Source organism: Homo sapiens, chromosome 6, assembly GCF_000001405.40.
Source record: "Homo sapiens chromosome 6, GRCh38.p14 Primary Assembly".
Classification (NCBI taxonomy): domain Eukaryota; kingdom Metazoa; phylum Chordata; class Mammalia; order Primates; family Hominidae; genus Homo; species Homo sapiens.
This window is the reverse complement of record NC_000006.12, coordinates 127,890,445-127,902,593: the sequence shown is the minus strand read 5'-3', so window position 1 is coordinate 127,902,593 and position 12,149 is coordinate 127,890,445. Positions and strand designations below refer to the sequence as shown.

At 33.0% G+C, this 12,149-nt stretch overlaps 1 protein-coding gene across 11 annotated transcripts in view; it reads left to right on the top strand.

Moving 5' to 3' along the window:
- THEMIS (thymocyte selection associated) overlaps positions 1 to 12,149 on the top strand; it is a 221,968-nt gene that overhangs the window by 16,002 nt on the left and 193,817 nt on the right. For 5 of the 11 annotated variants that reach the window (XM_047418764.1, NM_001394521.1, NM_001010923.3 and 2 more), the window contains exon 1: positions 1,536 to 1,752. The exons of 3 other annotated variants lie outside the window; for them this stretch is intronic. In XM_047418764.1, the coding sequence (XP_047274720.1) occupies positions 1,662 to 1,752 (91 nt within the window). In that variant the 5' untranslated portion in view covers positions 1,536 to 1,661. Of the gene's footprint in view, positions 1 to 1,512; positions 1,753 to 12,149 lie in introns of those variants that run through there. 3 more of the 11 variants (XM_047418766.1, XM_047418765.1, XM_047418763.1) reach the window with 1 other exon arrangement.

The window sequence follows — 12,149 nt, the reverse complement described above, 5'->3', positions numbered from 1 at the left end:
TAGGATTACAAAGAGTTGAAACAGTTTTATAAGCTCCATATCAAAACTAGGCAGTTTTTATCTTTCTAGGTCATTTACATGATGGCCATGGTAGAACTGAGATGTCCCCTGACCCTCTGTATGTGGCTATGCTCTCTGCAGCCTAAGGCCAAAACAGTTAATAGATAAGTGCCTGGGTTTGGTTACTAAAGAAAACGTGTAGATTCCTGTCATCTTTCAAGTGTATACATACCAACCAGTATTCTTTATTTTTTTTTTTTTTTTTTTTTGAGACAGAGTCTTGCTGTGTCATTCAGCCTGGAATGCAGTGGCATGTTCACAACTCACTGTAGCCTCAAACTCCAGGGCTCAAGTGATCCTCCTTCCTCAGCCTCCTCACAGCTGGGACTACAGGCATGTGCCACCATGCCTGGCTAATTTTTTAATTTTTTTGTAGAGACAAAGTCTCACTATGTTGCCCAGGCTGGTTTTGAATTCTTGGGCTCAAGCAATTCTCCTACCTCAGCCTCCTAAAGTGCTGGGACTACAGGTATGAGCCACCGTACCCAGCCTCAACCAATATTCTTCTACTTTACCTTAAAGAGACTTAGGAACTACCACCTTTAATTGTATATATTTTAAATATTGTTTCAGTTACATGCAAAAAATAGAGAGGGGCAGGATTTTGAAGAGATCAATGTTCATGAGTTTTCTCCTGCTTCCTTTGGTGCTGATCATTTCCCCTCCTAAATTTCAACAATAAGATCAGAATTGTGGAATTGTGAACTTGGAAGAAATTATAAAATTTATTGGACTCTTCTACTTCATCTCCATTTAGTAAATAAAACAAATGAAAATCAGAGAAGACAAGGCTGACGTTAGCCTGTAAATCAAAAGCAGAACTAAACCCAGAAAATGCAGGTTTCCTGACAAGTAATTTTAATACTTTCTACTATAGTGTAGAGATTAGAAAACTCATTTTAATGTACTTTGTTAATTTACTGTATCATTTTGCATATTCTATCCCTACCCTACCCTCCTTTAAGATTCAGCAAAATTTTTAATGTGGAAGAATAAAAAGTGGTTTCAATACTCTCTCCAGAGTATAGTATCAGAATTCTAAAAAGAGCTGACGCAAAGCACTTTTATTACCAATTTTAATGTAAAGGCACTGACAGTATGCAAATAAGGCACAAAGCCAAGCTTTAGAAATGAACTAGAGAGATAATGAATTCACATGGTGCCATTTTTAAGATTAGACTTTAGTCCTATATTCCTGTTCTTTGTTGGTGGGCAAGCCACAAGCAACTCTGACCTCAGTTTTGCTACCATAGTAGATGCACACCTGGATTAACAAAGGACAGAATGCGCTACTTAGCACGTCTCATTTTTTGGGCAGTGTCTGTTCACCCCACCCCCATCCTGTTCAACTTCAATGTCAGAAGGAAATGAAGCCACAATGTGAACAAAAAGAGCTATAACATTTTTTGTCTCCTGCTTCCCCCCTCCCTCTTCATTGTCCTCCCCACATAGAGCTACTCCACCCCACTCTGGCTGTAGTGTGACATTCCTGCCTGCCTGAGGAAGAAATGGTGAGCAGGGGCTGCAATTGCAGACAAGTGTCACCCAGAAGCCACAAGTTTCTGTGAGCACCAGGTCTACAAACTACCCAAGGCATAGCAATGGCATTATCACTGGAAGAATTCGTCCACTCCCTTGACCTCAGGACCCTACCCAGGGTTCTAGAAATCCAGGCAGGCATCTATCTTGAAGGTAAGCACTCTCCAATACCTTTACTGGCTAGAACATTCTTGTAAAGTATACATTTTTGAAAATTGGAGGGGGGGAATTTTAACAGCAAATATGTGAGTTCTGGTAAAGGAAAGGCGATCACAAAAGAAAGTAATGAACTGACCAACGAATCGTCAAAAGCCAATGGTGTTGGAGAGGGGAGAAACTAGACAGGACTCTGGGACAGACAGAAATAAGGAATTGAGTGAAGCTTCTTGAGCTTTCTGTAGGCCTTGAATGGTGAACTATTTCTGCCTTTGCTTTGAAATTGGTTGTAATCAAGAATAATAAATTTAGTTATCAATATTTATGTTTCCACAATATAAAAAATAAAATTTAGCTTGCTAAAACAAAAGCAACTATCAAAGGCACAGTGTTTAGAAAGAAGTATTTCCAAATATTTCCCAAACTTTTAGCTCCTAAATGTTGCTTATACCAATGTTTTTCTCACTCTGTAGTGGCCTAACTCCAAATTCCTTAAATAATGAAAATTTTAATTTGAAGGTATAGAAATTATTGCTACAAGATAATTTTTAAAAATTGATGTTGAAACTCAGAGTTCAATTAAACTTATTGAATAATAAGATAGTGAGTTTTGGTGTAACTCACTATGTTAATTCAGGTGAAAGAACATTATAACCTCCAATATACAACCTAGAATCTTTACATGGTTAGTTTGAATACATAGAATACAATTAATAATTCTGTAGGTGTATTTCTGGCCTCAAGAGTGGTAGAATTGAAGCAGTTGTAGAAACAGATCAAGACAAAACTACCAGGAAAATAACTTAACTGTTGGTAGGCAGGTCTTTCTTGTTCGTAGACAAAATAATGTATTACATATTATGTTGCAAAGTAAAAGAAAGATTAACACGTCAGCTCCAGTTTTTATATATATTATATATATATATATATATATAAAATATACACACACATACTTGCAGGTGATGAATTGATATGGGCTGTTATCAGCTTAGTGTACAGTTTTATTTAACTAATTTGTAAGTTGATTTTTGGAATCAGACTATGTTTTGCCGTGTATAATCATATTATCAATGTCTCTATTTCTAAGCCAGCCCCAAATCATTTTTTGTCTCATGGTTTGTGTTTTTTAGGCTTTACGTAAAAAGTCTTTCTTTATGTCTACTTTAAAAAGATATTTTCCTATGTTGTTTTTATCAACTTTACGGTTTCATATTTTGCATTTAGTTTTTAGTCTATTTGGAGGACAATGTTATGAATTGTACAGGGATCCAATTTTAGTTTTCTCTATACAGTTCACCTGATTTCCAGGTACCATTTGCTAAGCTGACAATCTTTCCGCCATTGATTTTTGTTGCCTCCTTCAAATCATATTATATGTTCACCTCTGTATCAGTCTGTCTCTAAAATATCTCTTCTATTCCATTAGTTTATTTTTTTTCTTAGCTGCCCCCAAACACACTATTTTTGTAACTATGGCCTTGCAATACATGTTAATATAGAAATGATGTATAGACCAATCCCTTGTTTTCAATCCTTTTTTCCTAAATTGGCTTAGATATTCATAGACTTTAAAAATGTTTTTATAGATACATAATATATATACATATTTATGGGATACATGTGATATTTTGATACAGTGTGTAATAATCAAGTCAGAGTAATGGGGATATTATTCATTGCCTCAAACTTTTACCATTTCTTCATGTTAGGAACATTCCAATTCCACTACTCTAGTTGTTTTGAAATATACAGTAAATTATTTTTAGCTATAGTCACCCTATTGTACTACCAAACACTAGATCTTATTCCTTTTAACTGTGTTTCTGTACCCATTAATCAACCAACCCCTCTCTATCCCCCTCCCACTACCCTTCCCAGCACCTGGTAGCCATCATTCTACTCTCTATCTCCATGATATCAATTTTTTTAGCTCCCACAAATTAATGAGAACATGTGATATTTGTCTTTCTGTGCCTGGCTTATTTCACTTAACCTAATGTCCTTCAGTTCTATCCATGTTGTTGCAAATGACAGGATTTCATTCTTTTTTATGGCTGAATAATATTCCACATTTTATTTGTCTATTCATCTGTTGATGGACATTTAAGTTGATTTCATATTTTGGCTATTGTAAAAACATGTGAATGCAGGTATCTGTAATATATTGATATCTTTTCTTTTGAATATATATCCAGCAGTGGGATTACTAGGTTGTAAGTAGTTCTATTTTTGTGTGTGTGTGTGTGTGAAAACTTCACACTGTTTCTCATAGTGACTGTACTGATACACATTCCCATCGAGTATAAACGTTCCCTTTTCTCCACATCCTCTCAAACATCCATTATTTTTTATCTTTTTGATAAAAGCTATTTTAACTGAAGTGAGATAATATCTCATAACTTTTTCAATGAGTTTTTATTAAATCAATTGATTCTATAAGAAATCTAACTGGGATTTTTATTGGATTTATTGATTTGGTAGATTAAGTTGGAAAGAATTGACATTCTATATTGTTTTAAGAAAGAATGTAGTGTCCCTCTATGTGTCCAGACCATCTTCTTCATACCTTATTATTTTACTACTATGTTTTACTTCAATTAAGAGGGAAAAAACTAAATACCTTGATCATTTTCACAGTGTAAACACATTCATGTAACTGCCACCCTGGTCCAGAAATAGAAAATTCCAAGTATTCCAGAAGCCCTATCCTGTGCTCTTTCTCAGTCATTATATACTATCTCCCTCAAGTGTAACCACTATCATGACTTTTGTCCATTTATGACCCTTACATAAATGGAAAATTACAGTATGTATTCTTTTCTGGTTGGTATATCTGTTTAACATTATATTTGTGAAACTAATCCATGCTGTTTTATATATAGTTCATTCATTTTCAGTGTATGTTATTCCATTAGATGAATATACTACAATTTATGTATTAATTCTACTGCCAATAGGCATTTGGATTATTTCTGGCTTGGAGTTTCCAGTAATTTTGTCATGAAAATTCTTGTACATGTGTGCCTACGTGTATATGCATTAAGTAGGGCATAAAAGTAAGTAGGATTACTATGTCATATTGTGTGTGTACATTCACCCTTGGAAGCTAATGAAAAGCAAGTTTCTTAAGTAACCCAATTTACTTTCCTACAAGCAGTATATTTGTGTTCCAATTAACTCATATGCTTAGTAACACGATATTATCAGTCTTCTTAATTTTAGTCATTCTGGCAAGAGTATAGTGGTAGCTCATGGTTTTAGTTTTCATCTCCTTGATGACTAATAAGATTGAGCACCTTTTCATATATTTCTTGGATTTTTGGAAATACTCTTTTTTGCAGAGGTGGTTTATATTTCTTGCTCATTTTTCTGTTGAATTTTATACATTTTTGTTATTGATTTGATGGAGTTTATGTGTATATATATATTTGGGATATTTACTCTTTGTCAATTTTCTGTGTTGCAAATTACTTTCTTAGTCTATAGTTTCATATTTTATTTTCAAAATTGTGTCTTTTAATGGACGAAAGTTTTCCACTTTCGTGTTAGTGTAGTCAGTTTATATTTTCCTTTTTCTGTGTTGTCAACAATTTTTTTCTTTACCCTAAGTTCATGAAAATATGTATTATCTTCTAGAAATCCTATTGTTTACCCTCACCTTCAGATCTGTAGTCTATCTGGGTTTATGTTTTTGTATATGGTTTGAAGTTGAGAGCAATATTTATTTTTCTCTTCTACAGAGTCAATTGGTGCAGTGACATTTATTGAAAAGCTGCCTTTTCTCTATCATCTTACTCTGTTAACCTTACTCAGAAATAGTGTCCATACATGCCTGGGTCTTTTCCCTTTTATGCTGTTCTATTCATCTACTTGCTATCCTTACATCAATTTTTCCTGTCTTAAATAATGTGGATATGCAATATCTAATATATACTTTCTATTAGATTATATTTAATAATATGCTACAGAGCCATGGTTCTCAAACTTGGTTGTGAAATAAAAATACCTGGATTGATTTTAAAATATAAATGCCTAGGTTTCTCCTCAAGAGGTAAAGATTTAATTATGTAAAAGGTAAGGCATCACCATCAGTTTTTGAAAATCTTCCTGATGATTATAACACACAGCCAAATTTGATAACTACTGCTTTAGAACAAGTTCTCTCAATTTATTATTCCTCTTTAAGTTTAGCACTTTGAATTTTCACATACATTTTAGAATTAACTTATCAACTTCCTCAAAAGTCCTCCTGGAATTTTGATTAGCTGTGCTTTGGTTTGGAGAAAATTGGCATCATTTTAAATTAAGTCTTCTGACCCACTAATCTGGTATAGCTCTTTAGTTATTTAAGTCTATTTCATTTCTGTCAATAACATTTTATAATTTTTTGTACAGATCTTGTATTTTTTCAGATTTATTCTTAGTTATTTGATTTTTTCATGCCATTTTAAATGGTATTTTTAAAATCATTTTCTCTTTGTTGTACTTATTGAATTTTAAGAATATATCTTTAACATTTTGTATATGTTATGTGTACATTTGCATTGTCTGTGAATATTGATGGATTTTGCTTCTACTATAATACTGAATAGAGGTAATGATAAAAAAAAGATCTCTGTATTTCATTCATGACCACTGAGAGCAATTTTCAGTAATCCACCATTCATGATGTTTGTTTTAGGTTAAATTAGTTCTAGTTTTCTAACAGGTTTTAAAAACTTGAATATATATTTGACATTTATCAAATATTCTTTTTGTAACTTTTATGATAATTACATAGTTTTTTTTACATTAAAAAGTGTTAAACATGCTTTTAATTGTGGAACACAACCAATGGGGTCATATTTCACTGAATTTGGCTTACTATTTTTTTTTGTTAGAATGTTTGTATCTCTTTTAGGGAATAATATTGGCTTATAGTTTTTATTTTTTTGTAATATCCTAGCCAGGCTTTATTATCAAGTTAGTTGAACTTACGGAACTTCTTGGTTGGAGTCTTTTGTTATTTTCCTAAAGATTTTATGTAACTTTGGTGTTATCGCTTATTTAAATATTTAGTAGAATTTTCAATGAAGGCCTCCTGAGCTGAGATTTCTAATATAGAAATGTTTTAAATTATGACTTCAATTTTTTAATAGTAAAGTCTTTTTATCCATGAGCATAGTTTATCTCTCATTTAAACAAGAGAATAAAATATCTTCTACATAATTTATCACAGTTTAAAAAAGTGTCTCTATAGAGTTCTTATGTATCCTAGGCTAGTTCCTAGAATGCACACACACATACTTATATCATGTGTATATATATATTGCTATATTGAGATCGTATTTTGTCTGTTTTCCCATTGATTGTCTCTGAAGTGAAGAAATGCAGTTAAATACGATTAGTAATATTTATAAATTCCCTTGTTAATTCTAATAGTTTATATTTTTTATTTCACTGGTTTTCTTAAATAGACATTAATGTCAGAAACATCAAGTTGTGTCTCTTTCTTACCACAAATGTTTTTTCTTACCTTTTTATTACAGGCTAGAGCCTTCAGTATTATATCAAGCAATAGTGGAAATCCTTGTCTTATTCCTAGTCATAAAGAAAATCATCTAAAGTTCCTTGTTAATATATTATGTACTAAATTTTGGTGTTTAACCTTTACTCAACTAAGGAAGTTCCCAACTATTCTTTGCTTTCTAGGAGTTTTCCGAATAAATAGGTATTGAGCTTATTAAGATAATAATGTGATTTACTTTCTTTAGTGTGTTTATGTGAGTTAACTTTAAAGATTTTTCAAATGTTGGAGGATCCTTTCATATAAATATATGTATTATATATACATTTTTTTCATATAAATATATATATTCATATAAATATATGTATTTTCAAAAAGTATATACTTTTTGAAATACAATGTAGGAATTTGATATTATATTTAGGATTTTTACATTTAATCATAATTAAAATGAGCCCATAGACTTATTCATTTTAGATTTAAGATAACATTAGCTTCCGAAAATGAGTTACATAAATTTTGCTATTTCTGTTTTCTGAGATAATTTTCTAAAAGTAGGTTTAACATCTTCTTAAAAATTTGTTAGAGTGCTCCTGGATGACCTACTAAACATGGAATTTTTTTGAAAAGAAGCTAGAATTTGGTTTTGTTAATATTCTCTATGTTTTGTTTCTTTTATTTTTTCTGATTCAGTCTCGTTTATTTTCTTGTTTGTCTGTTTTCTCTCTTGCTACTTTTCCAGCCTCCTATGTTGAATCGGCAGCCATGTTTAATACTTTGCTTCTTGATAAATGTGTTTTAAACTATTATTTTTTTCTAAGTATTTTTAACTGTTTCCTATAACTTTTGCCATGTAGCATTTTCATTATTCCTCAGATCTAATTATAATGTATTTCTTTTTAAATCCAGTAGCTATTAATTTTGTTTATTTAGTGATCATATAAGATTTTATTTGCTATCCTTTTGCTTTTAATTAATAATTTCATTGTATTTTGTTCGAGATTGATAGTCTTTATTTGGAATTGGTTGTGGTTTCCTTTACTTTGTGGTATGAAACATGTTCTACTTTGGAAATGCTTCCTGTGTGCTAAAAAAAAGTATGCTTTGTTTTTTGTTATAACACCTCTCTTTATATGCCAAATAGCTTGAGTTTTTATTTGTTTTGTTCAAATTATTTCTCTCACTGCTTATTTTTCATATGCTTAATCTCTCATTTACTTTATCTGTTGTACATCTATCTGGTTCACTCTTCATTTCTGTCTTTTATTTCATCAAAATTTTTTTGAGGTTCAGTTGTTCCATGTGCCTATGTTAGAGAGTTACATCTTTTTACTGTATTATTATCCTTTTTCCTTGATGATTTTTTTTCTTTAGGTTCTATTTTTTTAGAAAATGTTACTATTCCAGCTTTCTTTTGGTATATCATTTTCTAAGCATTTGTTTCCAATATTTTGGGGTTCTATTTTTTGTTTTATGTGGAAGGAAACATATTCTTTGTCCTCTTTCTGCCTTTTGTCTCAGTTCAGGCAGTGGAGCCAGATTCCACCCGTCCTGTGGTGATGATGACTCTGTGACAAATTTTGGGGGATGGGAGGTTTAAGGAAATTTGAAAGAGGCTGATGTCAAATCATGTGAGGTTCTGTAGTATTGGATTGAATACTCGCCGTTGACAACCACAGTGATAATAGGGAGAATGTTCATCACAAGAACATGTTGCTCAAGCATTTATTATTTTAGGAGCCGTATCGATGTGAAGCGTTTATGCCCTATTGATGTGAAGCACAGAATTGTGGGTTATAAACTCAGGACTCTGCCTCTTGGATAAGTTATAAATGAGAGGTGATTCCATGGTCAACTTAAAACATTGAACATTTGTCCTTTGTTACAAAAAATAGGTTTTATCACAACCTTGAGGTATGATGTGAAGATTAATTGAGCTATGGCATATAAAGAATTTAGCAAAATGACTGGCTGAGATCAATCTTTCAGTAAATCATAACTATTATTATTATTACCTTAATGCTGGTATATTGTAAAGAAACTGGTCAATTATTTCAAAAATTAAAACAAAACTGATTTGAATTTTTCTACTGTTACATATACCAACATAAATTGAATATGAAGAAAAATAGTAAAAAGTAAAACATTAACAATAAAACCATTTAAAGAAACCACATAAAAATGTGAAACTGAAACTTTACAAAGTGAAAAAATTAAATTTATAAAATAAAAAGCTTCCTTATTCCAAAAAAACCCAAACTACATAAATGTGGAAGAAAGACTAACTCTACACAAGGGGAATATTTACATAATATAGAGCAAACAGACTATAAATATCCTGAATGTATAAGGAATTACTAAATAACAATAAACAAAAGTGAATATAAAGATGTAAAAGGCAGTTCACATACCATACTAATATTAAAAAATTCAAATCTACTATCAACAATGCTAATGAAACAATAAATCATTATTTCTCTTTCAGGTCACTGGTATTAAAAGATTCACAAAAGTTATTGTAGGCATGAATGTGTGGAAAGGAGCCGAGGCACACTTGGTAATGTGTAAACGGTTACAGACTTTCGAGGTTGCAACTGGGTAATATTTATCTACAGAGAAAAATGTTTATAAACATCCAATCACTAGAAATTAATTTTAAAATACAATTACAAAAAGCAAAATAATGATTATATTAGAATGCTCATAGAAGCATGTTTTATAGAAAAATGTTAAGCGAGCCTAGAATGGAATAGCTTACATACATCCTAATAATGCATTATCAGGCATTGTCAAAGGGTCTAGAATTACAGTTGGGAAAAAAAGTAAAGCCCTCCCCTCTCGGAGCTTATATTCTAGTAAATGGGACAAATGACAAACCTAGATTTAGAATATATACAAGTGTCATGAAGCACTGACTGGAGAGTAAAGCAAGGTGAGGTGAAAGGTGATCTTTTGATAGGGTGACCGGGGCAGATTATCTCTGATGAAATTTGAGCAGGGACCTGAATAAACTGAGGAAATAAGCCTTGCCCACATCTGGAAGAACATCCCTGCTGAGGACAGAACAAGTGCAAACTACTGAAGAGCTTGCTTGGTCTGGATAAGAAACAGGGAGCAGCCCAGTGGTGCTGAAGGCAAGGAATTGGGGGAAGGATGGTGGGAGAAAGACTGAGGCGTGGGCAGGCCCAGACCTTGTAGGCCTTGAAGGCCAGAGTGACACTGAATGTGGTACAGAGTGGGGCTGGGAAACCCGTAGGACCTGTAAACTAATGTGGTCAGGGAAGGCCACTCTGAAGAAATGATTTTGGAGCAGAGACTTGAATATTGAGAAGGAATCAGCCAAGGAAAGATCTAGGTTCTGGAGTGTTCCAGAGTGAACAGACAGTGCAGACATCTGGGGACCAAAAGGAGCTTTGTCTGTTTGAGGAAGAGAAAACATATCCCTGTACCTTGAGCACATATAAAGCAGGGAGAAGAACATATGAGAAGAGGTTTAAGGAGTGGGCAAGAGCATTTCAAGGAGTTTGGGTTTTATGAGACGCCAATGACCAGTTTGAGCAGCAGACTGACAAGACCTGATTGCCATTTGAGGAAGATCACTGGCTATTTTGGGGAGAACAGGCATTAGTGAGGCAAAAGTGGAATGATATATTAGGAGACTGCAATAATCTAGAGGAGAGTTGATGGTGCCTTGATTTAGTGTGAAGAGAAAGGAACAGTTCAAGAGATGCTTTGGAGGTAGAAATGTCAGGACTTTCTTTTTCTTTGTTTCTTTCTTTTTTTTTTTTTTTTTTGTTGAGCTGGAGTCTCTTTCTGTCACCCAGACTGGAATGTAGTGGCGCAATCTCAGCTCACTGCAACCTCCACCTCCCGGATTCAAGCGATTTTCCTGTCTCAGTCTCACGAGTAGCTGGGACTACAGGTGCCCGCCACCAGGCCTGGTTAATTATTTTTTCGCATTTTTAGTAGGGACAGGATTTCACCATATTGATCAGGCTGGTCTTGAACTCCTGACCTCAGGTGATCCATCTGCCTTGGCCTCCCAAACTGCTGGGATTACAGGTGTGAGCCACCGCGCCTGGCCGAAATGTAAGGACTTTCTAATGGATTTGAAATTGAGGTGAGAAAATGAAAAGACTAAAGGATGAATTCAAGATTTTGGCCTAAACCACTGGGTAAATGTTTGTGTATTTGACAGAGTCATGAAGACCAGGGGAAGATGAGATTTTAGTGAGAAAAACAAAAGTTTTGTTTTGGACATATTAAATATAAATATCTATTACTCAGCCAAGTGGATATTTCAAGTTAGGCAATTAAAAATCCAACTTGGGCACAGAGGATGCTTGTGGTTGGAATGCCCTATCCATTACCTAATTGATCAGGACTTTATTTGATCAAAAACCTCATCAATTTAAAAAAAGAGGATGCCGCTTTCCATACATGTATTTCTCTATTGATATTTATATTCCTTCCAAAGCATACATAATAATAAAATTATAAAAAAGAAAGATAAAATTGATAATATACAATTTTAATTTTTGTTAATAATATACACTATTTTTCTCACAAAAGCTGTTAATTCTATTGTAACAACTAGCTAGTTTTTAAATTAATATATAATAATTGTACATATTTATGGGGTACATGTAATATTTTGATTCATACATACAGCGTGATCAAGTTAGAGTAATTAGGATACTGTTCACCTCAAACATTGATCATTTCTTTGTTTTGGGACTATTCCAAATTTTTTCTTCCAGTTATTTTGAAATAGACAATAAGTTATTATTCACTATGATCACCCTACTGTGCTATTGAACACTAGGCTTTATTCCTTCTAGCTAACTGTATTTCTGTATCCATTAACCAATCTCACTTCACCCCCTTC